Genomic DNA, 27241 nt, shown 5'->3' on the forward strand with positions numbered 1-27241 from the left:
TCATTTGCTTCACCATGACACAGCACCCCTTCATTGAATATTGACGCATGCCTTTTTCACAACCCAAATCAGGAGGCTCTATGTATCCCAGACCCAAAGAGAAGAAAAGAGGAGTCTGAATGTGTAGTCTATGTCAAAAAGAAATTTGACACCCCAATTTGAGCCATGACTCTCCCAAATCCCTGTAATCTATTTATTCATAAAGTCTCTCAACTAATCTGGAGAAACATATCCACAACATATAAGCATTCCTTCTTTACTTCTGTAAAACTTCCCTTGTGATTTCATAAATTCCACTACTGTGATACCATCTGACCAACAGTGAACTTCTCTGCCCTTAGACATTGTAAAATGATAGTCTTTATGAATCACAGTTTTGGAACCTATACAAACAGTACTTAGAAAAGGCTGGCTTCAGAATCTATAAAAAGCTCAAATAAATCAACAAGCAAAAAAACAAACAACCCCATTAAAAAGTAGGCAAAGGACATGAGCAGACACTTCTCAAAAGAAGACATACAAGCAGCCAACAAGCATATGAAAACATGCTCGTCGTCACAATTATTTGAGAAATGAAAATCAAAGCCACAATGAGATACCACCTCACACTAATCAGAATGGCTACTATTATTATTATTATTTTGAGACAAAGTCTCCCTCTGCTGCCCAGGCTGGAGTGCAGTGGTGCAATCTCAGCTCACTGCAACCTCCATCTCCCAGGTTCAAGCAATTCTCCTGCCTCAGTCTCCCGAGTAGCTGGGATTACAGATGTGCACCATCACGCCCAGCTAATTTTTGTATTATTTTAGTAGAGATGGGGTTTTACCATGTTGGCCAGGCTGGTCTTGAACTACTGGCCTCAAATGATACACCCGCCTTGGCCTCCCAGAGTGCTGCAATTACAGGCATGAGCCACCACACCCAGCCCAGAATGGCTATTATTAAAAAGTCAAAAAAGATGTAGAAGGGGCTGCAGAGAAAAGAGAATACTTATACACTGTTGGTGGGAATATAAATTAGTTCAGCCACTGTGGAAGGCGGTTTAGAGATTTCCCAAAGAACTGAAAATAGAACACACAGCAATCCCATTACTGGGTATATTCCCAAAGGAAAATAATCCATTCTACCAAAAAGATACATACACTCGTATGTTCATTGCAGCACTATTCATAATAGCAAAGACATGAAATCAACCTAAGTGCCCATCAATGGTAGATGGGATAAAGAAAATGTGGCACATATACACAATGGAATACTATGCAGCTATAAAAAAGAATAAAATGGGAGCTAAACATTGGGTACACATGGACACAAAAATGGGAACAATAGACACTGCAGACTACAAGGGGTGGGGGAGGGAGGGAGGCAAGAGTTGAAAAACTATCTTTTGGGTACTATGCTCACTACCTGGGTGATGGGTTCAATTGTATCCTAAACCTCAGTATCACGTAATATGCCCTTGTCACTAACTTGCACATGTACCCTCAGAATCTAAAATAAAAGTTGAAAAAAAAGAGAAAGAAAAACTTGGCTTCAGAGTAGTCCAAAAACAGTGGCCTGTATAATCTTTGTTTAACTGAGATCCCATTCCCTTTTGACCAGATTTTACTGCCCAGAATAGCCATTTAGAGTCTGGTGAATAAATCAAGGAATACAGCTGTCAGCTCTCACAGCAAAGCAGCTTCAAGAGCAGTGCTAATCTCCACATTTAATCTCCAAACTGGAAGAACTACTCAGCCTTAATGTTTTGCCACATACATGTATTATTTTTTGTTTAATTTGATTTTCTACAATAAACCCACCTTCTTTAGGAAAGGAAGGCTGCTTTCACATTCATCAATCATTTAGGGTAAAATCAATGCACACAGTCTACAGTGGTATTCCGTAAATCAGTCACAACCTCTAGCACGGAAAATAAGTGGTACTGATACTGTAAGCAGAGCATAGATGCCCTTTGAGGCCCAGGAAGTCCCATCTGAGCCTCACCAATAGCCAGTGGGTTCTAGAAGTTCCTTGTGTTAAAGCAAATCTAATTCAAGGATGGCTCTTTAGACAGAAGCTGTTAAGTGGTAGACTGACTATGAAAAACTTGAGGAAAAAAAAATGTTGGTGCTTATCTCCAATACCATGAAAACACATAAAACATTTATTACTCTACTAAACATTAAATTACCCAATTCACTAACTAAAAATTCTCCATTCAGATGCAATAACAAAAGAAAATCATTTTATAAAATATTACCTGTTAGCATGCACTCCATTCACCTGAGTGATAACAGTAGACAGCTGACCAAGACCTAACATGGACTTTACTACACCATGATAATGAATGATCTAGAAATTTAAAAATATTTAAAATAGCAATTATCACTTCAATAATAGCTTGGGGACCAAAAACAGTTTAACTGATATTCTTTAAAAATTACTATTTACCTTATTGCCCTTATTTTTTTATTATTATTATTATTTTAATTTTTTGTAGAGACAGGGTCTTGCCATGTTGCCCAGGCTGGTCTCAAACTCCTGGGCTCAAGTGATCCTCCTGCCTCAGCCTCCCAAAGTGCTGGGATTACAGGCATGAGCCACCATGCCCAGTCACACCTTTCTTAATTTAACAATTGATTTGCTTACTTACATGGCAGGACCCCCATCAATGTCCTAACACATTTAAAGTAACATAAATAAATGTAGACAACATAGAAAATCTCAGATTGAAGTTATTATATTTTTCAATTTGGACTACTTTTTGGTTCACATCCAATATAAAAAGTATCTAATATCTTTGATATTCTGTTTAAAGATTGTCATATTTCTCACATAAACATTCAAGCTCAAAGGTCCTGATGTTTTAAATATGGATTTCGGGCTTTAGCACTAAAAAGTTAAAGAGGATTATGTACTATCCTTTAAAATGAAAAGAAGATTGTGAAAAATAAAGAATTTATATATTGTGCTTCTGAGAAACATGTCAAATATGACAAAAAGCAATATCCCAAAATTAGAAAGAATCTAAAGGCAAGATTGTAAATTAATGATTCTAAACCCCTTTCCCATTCCAATAGACACACAGCTTATTCCCATTACTAACTGTAACTCTGTGATTCTACAGGACCATTTTAGAGACGTGCAGGTGGGTGAGTAGGTGTATAAAATATGAAAATGTTTCTCAGGCTATGGAGAATCCCTAGTTCTACAAACTGATCCATGGCTTACACTTTTAATAGCAAACTAAAATTATATACATTTTAGAGTTATTAAATGAACATTTTAATACAGATATACTCCATAATAAATCTTATTCATTTAGGGGATTTCTAAAGTCATATAAATATAGTATTGGAAGGGACCTTTTTTTTTTTTGAGATAGAGTTTCACTCATGTTGCCCAGGCTGGAGTGCAATGGTATGATCTTGGCTCACTGCAACCTCCACCTCCCGGGTTCAAGCAATTCTCTTGCCTCAGCCTCCCAAGTAGCTGGGATTACAGGCGCTCGCCACCACACCCAGCTAATTTTTTGTATTTTTGGTAGAGACAGGGTTTCACTATGTTGGCCAGGCTAGTCTCGAACTCCTGACCTCGGGGAATCCACCCGTCTTGGTCTCCCAAAGTGCTGGGATTACAGGCATGAGCCGCCGCATCCGGCCTGGAAGGAATTTTTAAAATCATCTAGTAAAGTCTCTAATTTTATCTGTTAGGAAACTCAAGCTTAGAGAGGGTTAAATATTTTCCAGACACTCAGTGACACTGACAGAAACAGTATTAAAACTAAGGTTTCGGCTGGATGTGGTGTGGTGGCACACGCCTGTAATCCCAGCTACTCGGGAGGCTGAGGCAGAATTGCTTGAGCCCGGGAGACAGAGGTTGCAGTGAGCCAAGATCATGCCACTGCACTCCAGCCTGGCCAACAGAGCGAGACTCTGTCTCAAAAACAAAACAAAACAAAACAAAAAAAACTAAGGTTTCCAGAGTTCCTATTCAGGGCTATTTTCATTACAGTTGCCTTTCAATTATTATCTTACCTGGTCTGGTTCTAGCTGAATAGCCCTGTCATAACAAGCAGTGGCATCCCTCAGCAAGCCAAGGCTTTCATGTTCAAGGATCTGTTCTTTTAGAGATGGTTCTGCCTTTCTAATTGCACTGACTCCGGCCACTCCATCAGGTTCATGCATAGCAGCATACAATTTCTTTGTTCAATGATTAAAAAACAATCAAAAACAAGAAAAAAACACAACTGGAAATAAAACTATAAAACCACCTGTTTATATTGAAACAGCAATTTTTTGAGAAATTTTTCCTCAAAGTAATAGTAAGCATTTGTTTCATGGCAAAGTCACAGTAAAATTATAAACTTATTTCCAGGCATTCTATTCCCTCAACATTCTTACTCCTTTTAAATACAAATCTATATCAATAGCTGTTATTGATCATAAGGTTTATAAAGAACCTCAGGATCCTAAAACTGTCTAGATCCAAATGATAACATATTCTGTTGAGTATAGCTTATAAGAGTTTTATTGAATTTTTAAATTTTTAAAAATGTAAATAACCATTTTAATATATTGTTATTGAGATGACTTCAAGAAAACCAAGACAGCAATCTGGGCTCAAAGGAGATATTCAAGCTAAAGATAAAAATTTAGGAATCAGTTAGCACAAAGACAGTCTCTCACAACATGAGAAAGAATGGGATGATCTAGGAAATGGATAAAGAAGAAAAGCAGACTGACGATAGAGATTAGAGTTTCTACATTTATCAAGAAGGAAGAGCTGGCAAATGAAACAGGAGAAGTGAGATAACTTGGAAGAAAACTGGAGAATAAAATATCCCAGAAGCCATGGGAGAAAAGCAAATGATGTCTTAATGAGAAAGGCATGGTCAATGATACTGAGGTTAAGAAAATGAGGGCTGGGAAAAATTTACTGGATTTGGTAACATGTGGCCACCAATTTTCTTAGCAAGAATAGTGTCAACAGAAAAGAAAAAGAGAAGTCTTGTTGAAATGGGCAGAGTGAATGAGAAACAAAGAAGTGACTGCAGTATAAAGAAACTAGACAATTCCTTCAAAAACTGGTTGTGAAGTTCCGGAAACAGAGAGATGGGATGTATCTAAAGGAGAAGGTAGGATTTACCAGAGCATGTCTATATGCTCCATATACTCTGGTTCCCAAAGAGAAATTAATTACACTAGAGAAAGAAGGAATATATGAAGAAGTTACATCTTGAAATTGAGAACACAAGTAGAAAGATTGAATTTTGACAGGAAGAAATCCTTCCTTAAAAATAACAGAAGAAGCCAGGCACAGTGGCTCATGCCTGTAATCCCAGCACTTTGAGAGGCCAAGGCAGGCAGATCACTTGAGGTCAGGAGGCCAGCCCAGGCAACATGGAAAACCCCGTCTCTACAAAAAATACAAAAAATTAGCCAGGTGTGGTAGCAGCGCCTGTGGTCCCAGCTGCTCGGGAGGCTGAGGTGTGAGGATCCCTTGAGCCTGGGAGGTGGAGGTTGCAGTGAGCCGAGCTCGTGCCACTGTACTCCAGCCTAGGTGATAGAGCAAGACCCTATCTCAAAATAAATAAATAAATAAAATAACAGAAGGGAAGAAAAAGAATATGGTGCAGATGCTGTTTCATTTGCAGATTTTTCCTAATGAATCATGAAGCAAGATTGTCAGCTGGAAGCAGGGAAACAAAGTGAAGGTAAGAGACAGTCATCTTGACAAAGGGGAAAGTAGCCTTACTAGAGAAACACAGCCAGCCTGAAGGTAATGTTAGAGTCCTGCAGTTTTAAAGATGTTTGAGATCATGAACTTAAACTGAAACCAGTTATAACACCCACTGTGTAATTTTTCTCCAGCTGCTTACATGGTTGGAGTTTGACAAACGGAGTACAACACAGTGGGAAAAAGACAAGAAGTTGAGCATCACTCTAAGGGAACGATTTTAACCATGAACCATAGACTTAAAGCTGGACAAGGAGGAACACAAAGATAGGAAGGGGCTAATATTCATCTTAAGACTGCAAGTTACTAATTTTCTAGTTATTTTATCACACTTTGCTTTTTGATTTGAAAAGCCCACCAATCTTGAGCTCTTATTTAATTCCACTGTATTCGCCTCACCTGCTCTTACTTTCTTTTCTTCCCTACACAATCATAACATCGCCTAAATCATTATTTCACCAGCATTTTCATGCTTGATACCTGACATAACCGGCACTTGCCCCCACTAACTCACTCCCAAATTCAGGACCACAACTCTCACAAGGAGAAGAGTAATTCCTTGAATCATAGCCCTTCCAAACTCCTCCTCCACAACTGCCACAGGCATTTAGCTAAAATTCCATTGTGACCATAACACTTCCCTAGTTCGCACCCTCCAAGAAGTTTGGGCAACTTAAAAAGTCTTCTATTATTTGTGATCTTTCCTCTACCATTCCAAAACCGACACTTTACTCTTTGGCATATACCATGCTCTTTTCAAACACTCCACAGAGATGCCTCTGATTATAATGTCTTGCCTCCCTATACTGCTCATTTTTTAAGACACCATCTCCAAGAAGCCATTCCTGACCTCTGGCTCATCCGCTTCCATCTCCCACCCTATTCCACATGGATGAGTTAAGTGTCCTTCCTCAGGGTACATGTGTGTTACTGTACTTAAAATATTATACCAAATTGATGTTTATCTCTCCCCACTAATCTATAAGCTTCTAAGCATAGCATATAAAACATTCAATAAAATGAACAACATAAACATAAAAGACTGGCCACATTAATTTTCATTATTAAATTCACTATATTAACTTCAGACCTGTAAAAATCCAAGATGTTCCTGAATATTTTGCTTCTTTTCTGTAATAAATGATTCAAAGTGCATTACAGCTCGTGTGTATGCTTTGGAGCGAAAGGAAGCTACTGCCAGAGTATCCTGGGGTATGAGGTCTAGAAAACGGGTTACACTCTGATAGTCTTCATAATCCACAGTAGATACTAGATCATAAAAAAAGTTGAGTAATTAAAGACTTATAAGATAAAATTTAAAAGTGTCAATTTAAGTATTTAAGTTCAATTTATTTCACTAAACAAATTAATCTGAATATATTAGGATATCATATTTAGAATGTAACTAACAACAGAACAATTGTTCAGAGAGTCTTGCTCCAACTCTGCCATTATAACTTACCTTTCTTTGGACAGTCATTTAATTTACTGAGCCTCTATTTCTTTACCTATAAAAGGAAAATGTTAGTACCTGTCTTGCCTTCCTTACAACGTTGTTGGTGAGGATTAAATATCAATCTATTATTAAATTTTGAAAAGATATAATGATGATACAAAAGATACAAGATTAGTCATTATTTTTGATGACTATAAAAAATGATTAAATGTAGCTATTTTGTAGGGAAACTTCAAAACTATGGAAATAATCTTTTTTAAAGTTTAGAATTCATTGTTATCCACCTATTTTTTCTTGGTTGCCAAAAATACAGTATCACCTATTACAATAGAAATTGAAAGTAATGGCTGGGCATGATGGTTCACGCCTGTAATCCCAGCACTTTGGGAGGCCGAGGCAGGCGGATCACAAGGTTAGGAGATCGAGACCATCCCGGCTAACACGGTGAAACCCCGTCTCTACTAAAAATACAAAAAAATTAGCCGGGCGTGGTGACGGGTGCCTTTAGTCCCAGCTACTCGGGGGGCTGAGGCAGGAGAATGGCGTGAACCTGGGAGGCGGAGCTTGCAGTGAGCTGAGATCACGCCACTGCACTCCAGCCTGGGTGACAGAGCGAGACTCCGTATCAAAAAAAAAAAAAAAAAGAAAGAAATTGAAAGTAAAAGTGCCTTCAAAGTAAAACCACAAGTACTTTAGGATAATTTTTCAAGAGTGTACAAAAAGACAAAAATTAAAAACTTCTAAATGAGGACAGTCTAGTTTATGAATTATTTAAAACTTCTAAATTTTAATGATTCATAAGTGTGTAGAAAACAGGCAACAAATTTCTTCAAAATTTAAATAAGGCAGTATATTTTATTTTTATTTATTTACTTACTTTTTAAAAAAAATTATTTTGATCTCATTCTCACTGAGGCTGCAGTGCAGTGGCAAGATCATAGCTCACTGCAGCCTTCACCTCCTGGACTTAAGTGATCCTGCCTCAGCCTCCCGAGTAGCTGGGACCATAGGCATGTGCCACCACGCCTGGCCAAGTTTTGTATTTTTTGTAAAGATGAAGTCTCATTATGTTGCACAGGTTGATCTTGAACTCCTGAGCTCAAGTGATCCTCCTGCCTCGGCCTCCCAAAGTGCTAGGATTACAGGTGTGAGCTACCACACCTAGCCTAAGGTAGTATATTCTAAACAGATTATATTTAAAATAAGGTCCTTATTTCCATCAAAATTTGTAGATGATTTCAAATTCTGATTTTTTTTTTTTTTTTTTTTTTTTTTTTGGAGACAGGGTCTCACTCTGCTGCCCAGGCTGGAGTGCAGGGGTGTGATCTTGTCTCACCGTAGCCTCAATCTCACAGGCTCAAGCAATCCCCACACTTCAGCCTTGTGAGTAACCTAGGACTACAGGTGCACACCACCACACCCAGCTAATTTTTGTATTTTTTGTAGAGATGGGGGTCTCTACAAAAATGTTAAAGAAATGTTAAAGGTATTGTACTTTTGAATCATTACAAATGTTATTCTTAAAAGCTAGAATTTTGGCCAGGCACAGTGGCTCACGTCTGTAATCCCAGCACTCTGGGAGGCCAAGGCAGGTGGATCGCCTGAGCGCAGGAGTTTGGGACCACCCTGGGCAGTGTGGTGAAACCCTGTCTCCATTAAAATACAAAAAATTAGTCGGGTATGGTGGCATGTGCCTGTAGCCCCAGCTACTCAGGAGGCTGAGGCACAAGAATCGCTTAAGCCTGGGAGGTGGAGGTTGCAGTGAGCCAAGATCATGCCACTGCACTCCAGCTTGGGCTATAGAGTGAGACTGTCTCAGAAAAAAAAAAAAAAAAAAAGCTACTGTCACTGAAAATGGTGATAATAGAGTGTTTGGTTTTACAGTACCATTTTGACATGCAGAAATAAAAACTAACAGGCTGGTTGTGCTGGCTCACACCTATAATTCCAACACTTTGGGAGATCGAGGCAGATGGACTGCTTGAGCCCAGGAGTTAGAGACCAGCCTGGCCAACATGGTGAAGCCCCGTCTCTACTAAAAGTACAAAATATTAGCTGGGCATGAGGCATGAGAATCACTTGAACCCAGGAGGTGGAAGCTGCAGTGAGCCAAGATCACACCACTGCAACTCCAGCCTGGGCAACAGAGAGAGACTTAGTCTCAAAAAAAGAAAAAAAAATTAAAAAACAAACATTCAATAGTTAAATATAAAAATATATTAATAGCCACATTCCAGACAAAAACATTCTCCAAGCAGGTAATTATTGGCAAGTCCAGGAAATTTCAGAAAAATAATAAACTATTTTGCTTAACAACAGGAAAGTATCTGCTTCAACAGAACAAGAGGGAGATGCTCACAAACTGAGAATTATGGAAGTGAAGGCCTCTTTAAGGACTGTTAGATAGTTTTTCAATTAGCCTGAAAGCCTGAAGGAAAAATACTTGATGTCTGTGAGAACAGCTAAGGTATAAGGCCAGATTATAACCATCCACTTATTGCCAAGAATGGAAAAAAAAAAAAGGTTCAAAGAAAGTAAGAATATCCATTAGTGTGTGATGAATATAATTCTTCTCATCAATGCTTATATCATAGGGACAAATTAGCAGTTGTCATTTTTAAATCAAGATTCTTCTTAGTGAAAGTTGTAATATCACAGGAAAAAAACAGTGCAAGGTAAGATAGAGCAGGGTGTAGTGTAGTAATGCATACTAAGCATATCTGGACAGCTGGCTAGATATCAAACACTACTAGAGACAAGAAAAATAAATAAATAAAAATAGCTTCTCTTTAGGCCATGAAATAAATAAAATTAAAATCTCCCTTGAAATTTAAAACTTAAATGTGAAAAAGATTACAAAGAATATTTTCCAAGTGAAGAATGACAAAGAACAGAGTACACACATACACACACACACACACACAAAAACTGAGGAAACATATAATATGTTAACAGGGAGGATTAGGTTAATAACAATATTAGCATCTCATTTATTTCACATTTTATAATTTATCTGTTCATCATCTCATTTATTCCTCACAATAATCTCCTAAGGGAGATAATATTAACCCCATTTTGGCCAGGTGTGGTGGCTCACACCTGTAATCCCAGCACTTTGGGAGGCTGAGGTGGGTGGATCTCTTGAGGCCAGGAGTTGGAGACCAGCCTGGCCAACATGGTGAAACCCCGTCTCTACTAAAAATACAAAAATTAGCTGGCCATGGTGGCACACACCTGTAATCCCAGCTACTCGCAAAGCTGAGGCAGGAGAACTGCTTGAACCCAGGAGGTAGAGGTTGCAGTGAGCCAAGATCCTGTCACTGCACTCCAGCCTGGGCAACAGAGCAAGACTCCATCTCAAAAAAAAATTAATAAATAAAAATAAAAATATTAACCCCATTTTATACAAAGAAAAAATAAATATGTGCCTTGTCGAAGTGAGAGTAAGAAGAGAGAAAGGTCTTATTACTATAAATTCACTGTTTTTTCTCAGTGAAAAGGCCACACTATTACCCATTTTAAAAATACACAAAACAGCTGGGTGCGGTGGCTCATGCCTGTAATCCCAGCACTTTGGGAGGCCAAGGCAGATAGATCACCTGAGGTCAGGAGTTCGAGACCAGTCTGGCCAATATGGCAAAACCCTGTCTCTACTAAAAATACACGAAAAAATTAGCTGGGTGTGGTGGTGGGCACCTGTAATCCCAACTACTTGGGAGGCTGAGGCAGGAGAATTGCTTGAACCCGGGAGGCAGAGATTGCAGTGAGCCGAGGTCACGCCACTGCACTCCAGCCTGGGCAACAAGAGGGAAACTCCATCTCCAAACAACAACAACAACAATAAAAAACATGAAGCAAGGTATTTTTTAAGCTAGTGCTTAAATTATAGAACTGATAAAGGGAAGAGCTAATTGGTGAATAGCTAAAAAAAAAAAAAAAAAAGAAACAGAAGTGATAACTCACCCATTGAGTCTACCTTATTTCTGTTTGATTTGCTGTGTGGACATTTCTCAGCTTTCAGTGCCTGAAATTTGTGCCTTGCCCACTGTGTGAGATGGTCAAGCATGGAGAACACAGTCTGTGTACTGAGTTGACACAGATCAGATGCAATGTCTTGGGTATTTATGGTATGCTGATCGTCATGCTTTAGAACTGCCATAATTTCTGCATAAACCTATGAGAATCATTTATAATTAATAATAATATCTATATAATACCATTTAACTATTATATGACATCTAAAGCTAACCATTCTAAGGCAAAAATTTTCAAAAGAAAAAACACAATTGGCCAGGCATGTTGGCCTGTAATCCCAGCACTTTGGGAGGCTGAGGCAGCCCAATTGCCTGAGGTCAAGACCAGCCTGGTCAACATGGTGAAACCCTGTCTATACTAAAAATACAAAAAAATTAGCCAGGCATGGTGGCACATGTGTGTAATCCCAGCTACTCAGAAGGCTGAGGCAGGAGAATCACTTGAACCTGGGAGGTGGAGGTTGCAGTGAGCCAAGAGCATCACTGCACCCCAACCTGGGCAACAAAGGGAGGCTCTGTCTCAAAAAAAGAAAAGGAAAACACAATTGATCAATAATACATTCCTCTATTGTTCTTATCTATAATTAAATCAATCCAAATATTAGTCTAAAAAGAAAATATGTTAACGACTAAAGAAAATTTTAAAAATTTTAAAATATTCTAGATTATTCAATAAATGATAATGAAACTTTGTTAACAGTGAAAAAAACTTACAGTAATATTTCACACTATATGCAAAATTAAGTTCAGAGTAATTGAAGACTAAATATAAAAACAGAAGGATTAAAAGAAAATATAGCAAATAAGTTCATGACATTAGATGAGGCATCACATAAAAGGTTTAAAATTAATAATCTATAAAAGATGTATAAATTTTGCATTTACATTTAAAATTTCTGCGTGGCAAAATGTGAAAAGGTTAAAAAGAAAATGACTAAGTTGGAATAATTTTTGAAAATATGACTGGCAACAAATTGGTAGCTAGAATATACATAGAACGTCTATCAATTAAAGGGATACACACACCAAACAGGCAAAGATATGTAAATGAACATACATAGCCATACATAGGTCTACATTTCCTACTAATAGGTAGCCTTTCTAATACTAATTACATTGGAGAAAGTAAGTTTCACATGTTCAAAAACCAAGTAAGATGATTTATCTCACCTCCTGCTGATCTTCTTGATTACAACCCAGTAAGACATACACCAGAATATGTGGAAGAAGATAGATGGTCACTTTGAAATCATGCTTCATCATAATGCTACAGCAGGTGAAAATTTTACTGGCAAGATCATGTCGAACCTGTAAATGCAAAATGTGTAGACAGTAACACACTTTCACATATTGATTAAATGTCAAAGAGTAGCATGTGAGATAATTTATCACAAACGAGTATTCATTTTTAAATTTAAAAAGTTTTTTAATTAATTTTTTAATTAAATTATTTGGGGTTAAAGTCAAATTTTGTTATGACTTAACTTTTGATTTGCTAACACTGTTGAACTCATAAAATTTTAAAGAGATTTTTTCTTCAAATACAAAGCCAAAAAACAAAAAAAAACCCATAATATTCCAGAGCTGAAAATAGTTAACAGTATTCCACATTTCACACATTATATTTTCAGTATATTCATTAAAAAAAGAAAATGTCAGCCGGGCATGGTGGCTCACGCCTGTAATCCCAGCACTTTGGGAGGCCAAGGTGGGAGGATCACGAGGTCAAGAGATCGAGACCATCCTGGCCAACATGGTGAAACCCAGTCTCTACAAAAAAAACACACACAAAAATTAGCTGGTATGGTGGCGGGTGCCTGTAGTTCCAGATACTCGGGAGGCTGAGGCAGGAGAACCACTTAAACCCGGGAGGCGGAGGTTGCAGTGAGCCGAGACTGCACTCCAGCCTGAGTGACAGAGCGAGATTCCGTCTCAAAAAAAAAGAAAATGTCTTGAAGTTACTAACTACGAATTAGTATAATGATATTTTAAAACACTAACAGAAATGTTAATTAAAGGTGGGGCACGGTGGCTCACGCCTGTAATACCAGTACTTTGAGGGGCAGAGGCGGGCAGATCACCTGAGGTCAGGAGATCGAGACCATCCTGGCTAACACGGTGAAACCCCGTCTCTACTAAAAAAATACAAAAAAATTAGCCGGGCGTGGTGGTGGGCACCTGTAATCCCAGCCACTTGGGAGGCTGAGGCAGGAGAATGGCATGAACCCGGGAGGCGGAGCTTGCAGTGAGCTGAGATCGCGCCACTGCACTCCAGCCTGGGCGACAGAGTGAGACTCTGTCTCGAAAAAAAAAAAAAAATACAAAGATTAGCCGGGTGTGATGACTCATGCCTGTAATCCCAGCTACTCAGGAGGCTGAGGCGGGAGAATCACTTGAACCCGGTAGGCGGAGACTTACAGTGAGCCGAGATCGCACCACTGCACTCCGGCTGGGTGGCAAGAGCAAGACTCCGTCACAAAAAAAAAAAAAAAAAAAAAGAAAGGTAAATTAAAAACAAAAATTGTAAATTTTAAATATACTGTAAACATTTTCTTGGAACACAGAGTACCTTTTGTCTATCCAGCATGTAAAAATTTCTCATTAAGGAAATAGAAATATACCTGTTTTTCTATGAAAATTCATTGTAAAAATCTTTATTTTTATTTTAGAGAAAGTTCAGATAATATAACTTCTTTTAGAAATGCTATTAGAGTATAATATATCTCTTTATTGAATGTCTTTTTATTATGTAAAAAACTCTGACATAGCATTTACATCCTTTTACATAGTATTATTTTACAATATAAAAGGAATAAATGTAATTTTACACACACATTAAGACCATAGTAATTTTCTTGGTAAAACAATTACTTTTCACTCAGAAGCTATTATTAGTAACTACAGAGAAATTATTATTCTCTATTAGTTAACATTTTCTTCAAAAATTTCTATGATTATCAGCACAAATACTTCAATGATTATTGTGTGTGCTAGGCATTCAGATAGATGTTCTGGTTTCCTTTAGAATTTCCATTCAGTTAACAAACTGAACAGGGTTTCTTACCTTTGTAATAAGATAACCTGCCCAAGATGCTGACCATTCTGCAAAGTTACTACCCAATTTACTTAAGTAAATTGGCTTCTTTACTCCAGACCAATCGGTTGACTTCTGAGAACTCTTGTATCTGTAATTTTGAAAATTTGTTTATTAAAAAGATAAATCCACCTGTTTAGAATTTTAGTAAATTACAGCAACTCCTTCAGTTGACTACCTCAGTACTGCCTTGCCTTTACTGCAATCTGCTTACCTTTTTCCAGTATCCTTCTTAGGGGTGAAGTAGGTCATTCTTGGACACCTAAAGTACTTCTAAGGATTTGAGTCTGCCCCCTCCTCTTCCTCAGATCCTTCCAACTCTCTTCTTATATAAGAAAAACCTGTTCCTTTGAAGTTCAAGCCACCCAGGTATACTACCATTTTCTACTCCTCATTATGGGTAACTATGCAACACACTGATTACCAAACTCATTGATAACTTTAGAACACTGCTCAGGGTTTTCTTTCTTCCCAGTGTTATTATCATCCTGGGTGACTTCAGTGTCTAGCTGGAGCACTTAATCAAGCTCAGAAGTTTCCAATGACTTTCTTCTCTACTTATCAGGGCTCAGGAATTATCAGGGCTCCCATGCTAATTCAAAGAATTTCTTCACTTTGAAATCAATTATTTAGACATCTCATTGTATGGTCATAGTTTCCTAAATTTCCAGTTTTTTCACCCAGTTATTCCAGCACACCCATTCTCTCTTGTTGAGATCTTCTGTTCCGTGACCCTGCTAAGCTCTCCTGATCTATGACACCCCTGTCTCTTTGCCTCTTTCCACAACCATCTTAGTCTGTATGGTCCTTCACTTCTAGCATTCTCTTGGTAATATCCTCTACCCACTCCATTGCCACACTGTCTTTTCCAGCGGTATTCATCTGCTAACCTCCCAACCTTGAATCAGTCTAAATATTTGTCTTTACTGAAATGATACTCAGGCTACTGCACTGATACAGGAAAATCACTAACCCACTTATAAGATTAGTACTACTATGTATTCTTAGTCTTCAAAGTCAGTGGGCCGCTAAAGTTACAGAATTCCTTCTACGTTTTCATTATTGGCTCTCTTCTGTTTTCCAGTGATTATTTCAAACCATCACCACCCTCCTAAAGTCACCTACACCAACTCCATTGCCACTTTCAGCCAATGAGGTCATCTCCTATACCTCCTACTTCACAGAGTAAAAACAAAATCATTGCTTCCCGCAATGAAATCTGTAAACTTAGCTGTGTTCCATCCATTATTTTATCTTTCCCTATTGCAAAAAAAGAGATCTATTCCTTCTAAGTATAATTCCCTATAAGGGCCACGGCTCTCCCATTCCGGATGCTCCTTGGGGTCCTTACTACACCAACTATCACTTCTCTCTCACATTACTTCAACATGACCCTTTCTATTTGTTCCTCAGCATTAACATTTAAACATGTTCACACAGCTCTCATCTTACGGCTACCTGTGTGTAGGATTTTTTTGAATGGCATGGGTTTCTTTCAAATCACCAATAAAAGCTTAGGAAATAACAAATGCCCTATACCCAAAGTCTTATACCCAAATAATATATATATATATATATATATACATATTTCACTGTATTCCAAGTTTCTAACAGTTGAAAAATCCAATAATCTCTCAGTTAACCATCACACTAAACCAGGAGAAAAAATTCAAATCCCTATTTTGAATCATCACGCGTATAGTTCTCTGGATGATTTTTATCAAATTTATAGTAAACTTAGCTAGAAAACTACTGATACTGGGATACAAGCCAGGCTCTGCCTAGTCATAACCTGATGTTTTCTCCTAAAGTTATTTCTATGGTGATTTTGAACTGCAGTTGTTCTATCTGGTTCTAAATTTCAGTCTCCCAAATACAGCCATCCTTTAATCCAGATTTAGTGATTATATATAAAGAGCCCAAATTAAAAAAAAAAAAAACATAAAGTAGGGAGTATAACTTAAAGGCAGCAAAAATATGAATATGCTTTTAAGAAATTCCATATTTCCCTAGGTCCTCTGGAGTAAATATCAAGCAGTCCAAGCTATAAAATTGAGCTACAGGCTAACCTGGTATTTTAGTTTTTCATACAAAAGGGAATCAACGCTATTGAAAACGCACTCTATCAACCTCTTAATTTTATGTGGCTCCAATTTCAATAAGCAGATCCCAACTAGGTAAATCTCCTAACTTCCATCATTGAGGAACCATTCGAGAGGTTATTCTAACTGCTCAGGTATAAAAGCTAAAGACCAAAAGAATTTCCATTGCTTTGTTAAGATCTACTTTTAAAAGACCACTTAAAAGTTGCTTCCTATGAAAAACATGACAAGTAGGCAGAAATGTTGGCTTCTACTTCTTATGAAGTATATGATAGCCAACCTCACAAATTCTCCCCCCAAAAACAAAGAACTTATTAAGCAAGCTAGGATTGAATAAGCATTTATTATTGAGTGTCAACTAAATATCAGGCACTTTGCTAAGTACTTTTAATATTATCTCCTTTATTCCTAACAATAATCATACAAAGTGGGTAAAATTATCCATGTTTTCAAAATTAAAAAATTAAAACCTGGAAATGTTAAATAACTTGCCCAAGACTTCAGAGCTAGCAAATGCAAAGCCAACAATCAAACCTAAGCCTGTGTGACTACAAAGGTCATAAACTTTCCAGTAGATTACAGAAATTCTTTGACATCTACAGGTGCTATACAAAATACAGACTAAGAAAATGGGGGAAGTATGGAGTCCTCAAAAATGAAAATCCAAATTTTAACTTTAGTCTTTAACTTTACTTTTTAAATAATGCTAATAGTGGCCAGGTGTGATGGCTCATGCCTGCAATCCCAGCACTTTGGGAAGCCCAGACAGGCAGATCACTTAAGGCCAGGAGACCAGCCTGGCCAATATGATGAAACTTCATCTCTACTAAAAATACAAAAAGTAGCCAGGCATGGCGGTGCACGCCTGTAATCCCAGCTACTTGGGAGACTGAGGCAGGAGAATCACTTGAACCCAGGAGGTAGAGGCTGCAGTGAGCTGATACCGCATCACTGCACTCCAGCCTGGGCAACAGAGTGAGACTCTGTCTCAAAAATAATAATAATAACAGTAATAATTCTTCTTTAATAAGGCTAATAATAATAATGCTAAATAATCACTTCTTTAATAATGCTAGTCATAAGACATAAAATGATGTTTAAAAGATTTCTAAGTATAAAAAATTATCTAGGAAATAAATATGCATACCTCTGGGCTTTTATAAAGACTGTTAGTATAAGTCTAGGCACTTTCTAAGGTTCAAAGAAGTTATTTGTCCAAAGTCAAGTATCTAATATGCATGTGTACCTAGGGTACCAAAAAGTAGTTTCTAAATAGAAATAATTTATAGTTGTATGGATTTTTTTCATATAAAATGCTTCATGTATTTGCATGTCATCTTGCATATTTCGTCAGTCCTAACAAAGTCATTTAAATTTTTTAAGAGATTAAATACATTTTTTTAAAAGCAGAGGGTGAAAATATATTCATGAGGAGAAATTGGGAGTAATGAAAATCTTTAATTGGGCCTACTAAAGGCTTTCTGACTAGCTTTAAACTTTAAATTTCTGTATTACTTATACCTATCAAAGAATTCAACTCACATTCAGCTTAAAGTATATTCTTTCAATTTACTACCGACCATTGAACTTTTAAAAAAATCAATCCTTTTAACTTCAATAAATTTATCTGAATATTTAAAGTTGTAGAATTTAACCCAATGAGCAGACTGCACTTCTCATCTAGACAAATTATAAGCATAAATCATAGTGAAAAATATACATGAGGAGATACTAAAACACTTTTAATGTTAAAAAACTATATCAAAAATCACATTAATTTTTTTTTTTTTTTCCAAACAAAGTCTCGCTCTGTCACCCAGGCTGTAGTGCAATGGCACAATCTCGGCTCACTGCAACCTCTGCCTCCTGGGTTCAAGTGATTCTCCTGCCCCAGCCTCCCAAGTAGCTGGGATTACAGATGTGCACCACCACGCCCGGCTAATTTTTGTATTTTTAGTAGAGATGGCGTTTCACCATGTTGGTCAGGCTGATCTCGAACTCCTGACCTCGTGATCCGCCCGCCTCAGCCTCCCAAAGTGCTGGGATTACAGGCGTGAGCCACTGCACCCGGCCAAAAAAATCGCATTATTTTTATATAATTAAAAACAATTTTATGAAAATACATTAAATAAGCCTACATACCTGGTATTTAGATGAGGTTCTAGTATTTCCCGAACATGCTCAGGAAATCTCCTCCACAATTGGTGACCTGGGCCGTTGGTCTCCATCTCTCTACAGTCATAAATAGAAAGCAACTCCTACAAATACATATTTTACATTTGTAAGTCCACAGTGAAGCAGATAACGCTTTATATTCGTCAATGTTCTACATATCTTAGTTATAAAAATACAGCCATAACTCATTTTATTGCACTTCGCTTTATTTATGCTTCATGGATGCTGTTTTTTTTGTCTGTTTGTTTTTTTAGAAATAGAAGGTTTGTGGCCACTATGCATGCAGTAAATCTATCAGTGCCATTTTCCCAACAACATATGCTCACTTCATGTCTCTATGTCGCATTTCGGTAATTCTCAAAATATTTCAAACTTTTTCATTATTACTATATCTGTTATAGTGATATATGATCAGTGATCTTTGATGTTACTGTTGTAATTGCTTTGGGGCTCCACAAACTGTGCCCATATAAGACAGTGAACCTAATCGATAAATGTGGTGTGTGTTCTGACCAGCCGTTCCATCCCCCTCACTCTCTTTGGGACTTCATATTTCCAAAGACATAAGAATATTGAAATTAGGCCAATTAATGACCCTACAGTGGCCTCTAAGTATACATATGAAAGGAGGAATCGCACATCTCTCACTTTAAATCAAAAGCTAGAAATGACTAAGCCTAGTGAAGAAGGCATGTCAAAAACCTAGACAAGCCAAAAGCTAGGTGTCTTGCACCTAACAGCCAAGTATAAATGCAAAGAAAAAGTTCTTGAAGGAAATTAAAAGTGTTACTCCAATGAATACATCAAATATAAGAAAGAGAAACAGTCTTATTTCTGATATAGAGAAAGTTTTAGTGGTCTGGATAAAAGATCAAACTAGCCACAACATTCCCTTAAGCCAAAGCCTAATCCAAAGAAAAGCCCTAGTTCTCTCCAATTCTATGAAATCTGAGAGAGGAGAATAAGTTGCAGAAAAAAAGTTTGAAGTGATACAACTCAAGGGGCGCTTCTTAAAAAACAAAAAAAAACCCAAAAAGTTTGAAGCAAACAGAGGTTGCTTCATGAGGTTTAAGGAAAAGAAGCTGTCTCTATAACATAAAAGTGTAAGGTGAAGAAGCAACTATTGATAGAGAAGCTGCAGCAAGTTATCCAGAAGATCTAGCTAAAATCATTCTATTCTGTTGGAAGAAGATGCTATCCAGGACTTTCACAGCTAGAGAGGAGAAGTCAATGCCTGGCTTCAAAGCTTCAAAGGACAGGTTAATAACTCTCTTGTTAAGGGCTAATGCAATTGGTGACTTTAAATTGAAGCCAATGCTCATTGACGATTCCATACATCCTAGGGCTGTTAGGAATTAGGCTAAATCTAAATATATGCGTCTACTATATACCCATAAAAATTGAAAATTAGAACAATAAAAGTAAAAAAAATTTAAAAATAAAAAATTATGTGAAATCTACTCTGCCTGTGCTCTATAAATGCAGCAACAAAGCCTGAATGACAACACATCTGTTTACAGCATGGTTTACTGAATATTTTAAGCTCACTGTTGAGACCTACTGGTCACAATAAAAGATTCCTTTCCAAATATTACTGCTCATTGACAATGTACCTGTCACCTGGGAGCTCTGATGGAGCTATACAAGGATATTAATGTTGTTTTCGTGCCTGCTAACACAACATCCATTTTGCAGCCCGTGTATCAAGGGGTAATTTTGACTTTCAAGTTTTATTACTTAAGAAATACATTTTATAAGGTTATAGCGGCCACAGATAGTAATTCCTCTGATGGATCTGGGCAGAGTAAACTGAAAACCTTCTGGAAAGAATTCACTATTCTAGATATCATTAAGAACGTTCATGATTCATGAGAAGTCAAAATATCTATCAACATTAACAGGAGTTTGAAAGAAGTTGATTCCAACCCCTCCTGGATAACTCTGAGAGGCTCAAAATTTCAGTGGAGGAAGTAACTAGAGATGTGATAAAAACAGCAAGAAAACTAGAGTTAGAAGTGGAGCCTGAAGATAGGACTGAATTACTGCCTTCTCATGATAAAACCTGAATGGACGAGGAGTTGCTTTTTATAAGCAAAGAAAGTGGTTTCTGGAGATGGAATCTACTGTGGTTCCACTCAAAATGCTGTGAACACTGTTCAGGTGACAACGAAGGATTTAGAACATTACATAAACTTAGTTGATTAAGCAGTGGCAAGGTTTGAGAGGACTCATTCAAATTTTGAAAGAAGTTCTACTGTGGGGAAAATGGTATCAAACAGCATCACAGGCTACAGAGAAACCTTTCATGAAAGGCAACTGATGTGGCAAACTTCGTTGTCTGATTTTTTTAAGAAATTGCCACAGCCATTCCAACCTTCAGCAACCACCACGGTAATTAATCAGCATCATCAACATTGAGGCAAAATCTTCCACCAGCAAAACCATTATGACTTGCGAAGGCTCAGAAGATGGTTAGCATTTTTTAGTAACAAAGTATTTTTTAAATAAAGGCATTTACATTGGTTTTTAGACATAATGCTATTGCACACCTGACAGACTATAGTATAGTGTAAACATAATGTTAATATGCACTGGGAAACTGAAGAATTCATGTAACTTGCTTTATAGAGATACTTGCTTTATTGTGGTGGTCTGGAACTGAACCCCTACTATCTCTGAGTTATGCTTGTACATAGAAAAATAAACAGAATTTTATAGTTTTAGAGCTGTGAACATCCTTAGGACATTTATTTCAATGCCTAGAATGATTTAAGTAACTCATTTAAGTCACAAAGCTGAGGCAGTAGTATATATTTGTATATACATACAAAAATTTTGAAAGTAACTATACCTATAATAATTGGTTAAGAGGTATGCTTCTGTACTCTAAAATGTTTATCATGAACTTGTATAACTTTGATAAAAGTGAGAATTAAAACAAAAAGGAGTTTCACAAGTATAGAATTTACAACGTTCTTATTTGAATTAAACAATTTAAAGCCAGTAATGACTATATCCACTCTTACCTGAATGGCATAGGCAGCTGAATCTTGAGCTCGGCTATTATCAGCATACGCAAGGTAAGCTCTTGTTAGCTCCATCAATAATCCATAGGCAAAGCTTGAATCTTCTACTCCAGTCTCAATCAGAAAAAAAAAAAAGAAAATTCCAGGATAACTGCTATAAATTTTCTTAGGTGTACTGCTTTTTCCATGGTGAATTTAACTTAACTGCGTAAGTGAATTTAACTTAGACAAAGGAAAAGACAGTGAGGTTCAAACTAAGTTTGGTATCAAGACTACAATATAATCTGTAGCTAAAAAGCCAAAATGTAAAGCTTTTTAGGCTATTTCTAAGGTGTACAAAAAATTATTCAACTTTTGCATATCTCTGACAATTTGCATTGTTTGTTTTTTAACCCTTAAAAAGCAAAATGTAGGCCAGGCATGGTGGCTAATGGCTCTAATTCCAGCATTCTGGGAGGCCAAGGAGAGCGGATCATGAGGTCAGGAGTTCAAGACCAGACTGGCCAATATGGTGAAAGCCCATCTCTACTAAAAATACAAAAATTAGCCAGGCGTGGTGGTGCACGCCTGTAATCCCAGCTACTCGGGAGGCTGAGGCAGGACAATCGCTTGAATCCAGGAGGCAGAGGTTGCAGTAAGCCAAGATCGCACCACTGCACTCCAGCCTGGGTGACAGAGCGAGACTCCGTCCAAAAAAAAACACAAAATGTATACATAGCATCTCCTACGTTGCATTCTGTAGAGCCCAAGAGTCATCTGAGAACCTCTAAGGAATAATTTTAATATACGCATATAGTATAACTCTTGGAGATATAGTCTTAGAGATTCACAATGCACACAGATACATTAAAAGTCACATTTTTTTTAAAAGGTCACATTTAATTTTGTTCTATATGGAGTTCCCAAACTCATTTGACTACAAAACATTACTACTGTAATATCCTGGAAACTAGTTATCCATGGAAACACTAGCAATAATGTTTAAAAAGTAATATTTAAATAATTGATTAGGCTTTAAGTATTGTCATTATTATATTAGGAAGCTTTATTTACAAGAATATAACACCCTAGATGGGGTTCAAACTTTATTGCTTTTGGCTAAAGGTTTCTGCAATAGTAAAAGAAATAAACTCAGAAGTTAACTGATTGTCTGGTTCTAGGTGAAGCTTTTATTAAGGATAAGCTGAATAGTTCTTTGTAAATGAAATATATAAACCTCAATAGGACAGAGAACTCTTTTGTCATTCCAAATTTCCACTACTTACCACAAATGTAAAATCTTTTCCTTGAGTTTCAGTTGTTGAGAAATCTAATCGACCTGGATCTATCGCCCCCAATTCCCCTAAACATTCCCCACAGAGCAACCGAGCTTGAGAGTTTGCATCTTGGCAACCTTTCAAAAGCACTGTCACCAACTGTGAGATAATAGGTTCTACTGTTTCACTGTCTGTTGCATACTTTATCAGTTTTTCCTAAAATAAAAGTAGAAAGAAAATTTATACGTAATTTCTACAAACTAGTATGTTTTCCTGAGCTAGGAAGCTTAAAAATATTAAGGAATATCTAACATAAATATTGACAAAATTAAATTTCTGTATCTGCAATTTTTTCAGCTAGTTTTTGATGAGTTCACATAATATAGTTCAACAATATGTCCTGTACAATTAGAATCATTAAATGTCTGAAAGTCTTTGATCATTAATCCATTAAACAAGCAGTTACTGTGCATTTTATCAATATACAAAAAATCAGTAAAACAAGTCTTAACAAGTTCACAGTCTAAGAGGAAAACAGACAAATAACTAAAATATCATATGATATGTACAATAACAAATATACTTGTACGGCAAAGAAGCAATGAATAAGAAAAAACACAGAGTAACTTTTAAAGGACAGTGGACAGATATTTCAGTAGATAAGTGGAGGAGCAACTATTAGGTTAAAACAAGAAGTTTGAAAAGTGTATAACAACTAGTAAAGAAGGAAAAAAGATATAAAAAAGGGTTCTGTGAGGATGGAAAAGAGGGAGGAAGAAAGAGGTAGCCTAATGATAAATATGTCAATTCAAATAGTCTTTTTTCAGCTATCTCTTCAGGATGCTGTAATGAATAAAATGTTAAGTAAGAAGAAACAATTCTCAAGCCAGTGAAGATTTAGACCTTGCACTTGTGTGATCACTTTAAAGCTACTTCATTTATATTATTTTCTTTCTAGCACAAGTCAAGTGTATAGGAGCATCTCAAACTCCATGTTAGAACTGTAATGAGTAATACAAATTACTGTAATACATTTCAAAAGAAAAACGAAAAGACATTTAATCTTATCCAGAATCTTCAATAGCTGATTTCTTAAATAACATTACAGGTTAATTCAGCTGTAAAGACCGCCTCCCCACCCCCACACATACACACCCTGGTAATCAGTTAAAAGTAAAACTCAGATAAGAAGTGTCACTTTTTATCATATACTAAATGTCCATATGTACTTGGGTCTATTTCTAGACCTCCTATTGTTTCCCACTGGTCTGGTTATTCATATACTAGTTACCTCTTTGTTATAACTGTAGTGGCTACAAAGTATATTAATGTTTGGTTGGGCTACTATATTCTCATAACCTTTTTTTTTACAGGGGGAGTTTACTAGCTATTTTTTACATGTTTTATTTTTCCATATGAGCATTATTATAAACCTCCTACAGTTAAAAAAAAAACAACTTTGGTGACATTTTCATTGGGATTGCATTCCATTAATTAACCTAAGGAGAACTGAAATCGTTATAACATCAACCTACCCAATAATAAGGGATTGATATAGCTTAGGTATCTGTCCATTCCAAATCTCATATTGAAATGTGACCCCCAGTGTTGGAGGTGAGATCTGGTGGCAGGTGTTTGGGTCACATGGGTGGATCCCTCATGAATGGCTTGGTGCCATCCCTGTGATAATAAGTGAGTTCTTTCTCTATTAGTTCAGGTGTGAGCTGGACTCCATTAGTTCAAGTGATAACTGGTTATTTGAGAGTATGGCACTCCTCCCATTGCTTTCTTGCTCCCTCTCTCACCATGTGATATGCCAACTCCCCTTCCCCTTTGGCTATGAGTAAAGGCTCAGGCTTGCTGAAACCCTCACCAGAAGCAGATGCTGGCACCATGCTTCTTGTATAGGTTGCAGAACCATAAGCCAAATAAACCTCTTCTTTTTAATAAATTACCCAGCCTCAGGGTAATTTACTATAATTCCTTTACAGCAAAGCAAACAGACTAAAACAGTGATGGTTTCCATTTAGTTAAATCTATTACCCTTTTGTGTCTTTCAGAAGCATTTTAAAATTTTTCTTTTGTTGGTGTATGCATTTCTTGTTAAGTTTATACTCAACTATATTGTTTTCCTGTTGCTATTGTAAATGGGGTATTCCAAAAAAATTTCTACCTAGTTACCACTTGTCATATGAAAATTATTAATTTTTATGTTAATTTTATATCCCCTATTTTACTGAATTCATCTGTGGTCAAGTTAGTTTTATCAGTAATTCTCTATAATTTCCGAAGTATATTAGCATAAGAAATGGAGATAATTTTACATCTTTTCCAATTCTTATGTCTCTGATTATCATATCATCTGTAAATATAGTTTTACATCTTTTCCAACTTTTATGTCTGATTGCTTTTTTCCCTAAATTCCTTAGCCAATACCTCCAAGTGAACGCTAAATAGTGCAGATAATAGGAAACCTTGCTTTCAGTGGGAATGTTTCTTGTTTCCCATTAAGTATGTGTATATATGTACTATGTATATATATACATAGTACATATATAAACATGCATACATATATGTACACATATACATTAAGATAATATTCATCAATTTCTGTTTTCTTGAGTGTTTTCATTTGAAGTAGGTGATGAAATGTGTCAAAGTCTATTCGGCATCTATGGAAATAATAGCATGATTTTCTCTTTAGATCTATTAATATAGTGAATTACATTCGTGGATTGCTAAGTATTAACCATCTTTGCAATACTGGAATAAAATGCAACTGGTCATGGGGTATTGTGGGTTTGTTTTTGTTTTTTTTTTTTTGAGACAGGGTCCCGCTCTGTTGCCCTGGCTGGAATGCAGTGGCATGATCTTGGCTCACTGCAGCCTCAAACTCCCCAGGCCAAGGTGATCCTCCCACCTCAACCTCCAAGTAGCTTGGACTTTAGGCATGTGCCACCATGCCTGGCTAATTTTTGTATTTTTTGTAGAGATGGGGTCTTGCTATATTGCTCAGGCTGGTCTCGAACCCTTGGGCTCAAGCAATCCATCTGCCTTGGCCTCCCAAAGTGTTGGGATTACAGGCATGAGCCACTACACCCAGCATGGGGTGTTTTCTTAATGTGAAATTGATTTGTTTGATAATATTTCATTTATAAATTTTTACACTGATATTAATATGATAATCTTTAATTTTTTGTTTCATGCTATCTTTTTTCGGTCTACTGAACACTGTTATATATTGCCGCTTTTTTAAAAATGGAAGTTTTCTTTCATTTCCTATACTCCAGGACAATTTAAACACCACTGAGACTATTTAGTTTGTGAAAATTTGATTTAAAAATCCCCTTATCTGGGCCTGGTGCTTTCCTATGGATGAAGTTCTTTTATAATATTCTCTATTTCTCCTACAGAAACTAATCTTTTAAGCTTTCTATTTCAGCTAGAGTTCATTTTGATACACTATATATTCCAGGAAAAGTATACATGTTTACAAATTTATTTGTGTAAAAGGGTACAAAGTAGTCTCTTGTGATTTTTAAATACCTTCTATGTTTCAACAGTTTATTATTTACATATTTGACATTTACCAATTTCGCTAGTTTTTTGCTAGCATTTTTACTCATTAATTAATTTTACTGCTTTCTGTTCTCTATATTTCTGCTTTTATTTTTATTATTTTCTTCCTGTACTATCTTTTCTTAAATAGTTTTAATAAAATATTTGTTTCACATACTATAAAATTAACTCTTCTAAGGTGTACAAATGAATGGTCTTTAGTATATTCACAAGTTTTAGTATAATGAAGTATATCACAAGTGCAACCATCACTTCTATTTAATTTCAGAACATTTTTACCATCTCAAAAGGAATCTGTACCCATCAGCAATCACTCCCCATTTCCCCCAAACCTCCTAACCCTAGGCAACCATTAATCTACTTTCTATCTCTATGGATCTGTTTATTCAAGAATACCAAAGGTTGCCAGCAAACCACCAGAAGCTCTCAAAAGGAACCAACCCTGCCACCACCTTGATCTCAAACTTCTAGCCCATGGGAGCTGTGAGACAATAAATTTCTGTTTCTGTTGTTTAAAGTCATTCAGTTTGTAGTACTTTGTTATAGCAGCCCTAGCAAACTAACACAAAGATCCAACTAATACAATAATCAATTTTTATGAATGTTCTATCTGCTCTTTAAAGTATGCTTCTATTATCAAGGTGTAACGTCTGACATATATTCACAATAGCTACTTTATTATGTTATTTAGATCTTCTACGTATTTATCTACTAACTTATTTTATACTGAGAATAACATGGTAGTCTCCTCTGATTGAGTTTCTATATATATCTTCTTAAGCTTCTTATTTTGGCTTT

General features: G+C 36.6%; 1 protein-coding gene across 9 annotated transcripts in view; it reads right to left on the reverse strand.

Annotated features, from left to right (window-relative positions):
• Nucleotides 1–27241, reverse strand: part of ATR (ATR checkpoint kinase) — a 129499-nt gene that overhangs the window by 51885 nt on the left and 50373 nt on the right. For 6 of the 9 annotated variants that reach the window (XM_011512925.2, XM_011512924.2, XM_047448361.1 and 3 more), the window contains 9 exons: nt 22874–23080; nt 21609–21728; nt 18550–18665; nt 14276–14396; nt 12382–12519; nt 11141–11351; nt 6812–6990; nt 4020–4184; nt 2243–2334 (listed from right to left, as the gene is read on the reverse strand). In XM_011512925.2, the coding sequence (XP_011511227.1) occupies nt 2243–2334; nt 4020–4184; nt 6812–6990; nt 11141–11351; nt 12382–12519; nt 14276–14396; nt 18550–18665; nt 21609–21728; nt 22874–23080 (1349 nt within the window). The remainder of the gene's footprint in view (nt 1–2242; nt 2335–4019; nt 4185–6811; nt 6991–11140; nt 11352–12381; nt 12520–14275; nt 14397–18549; nt 18666–21608; nt 21729–22873; nt 23081–27241) is intronic. The other 3 variants (NM_001354579.2, NM_001184.4, XM_047448363.1) reach the window with 1 other exon arrangement.

Source organism: Homo sapiens, chromosome 3, assembly GCF_000001405.40.
Source record: "Homo sapiens chromosome 3, GRCh38.p14 Primary Assembly".
Lineage (NCBI taxonomy): Eukaryota > Metazoa > Chordata > Mammalia > Primates > Hominidae > Homo > Homo sapiens.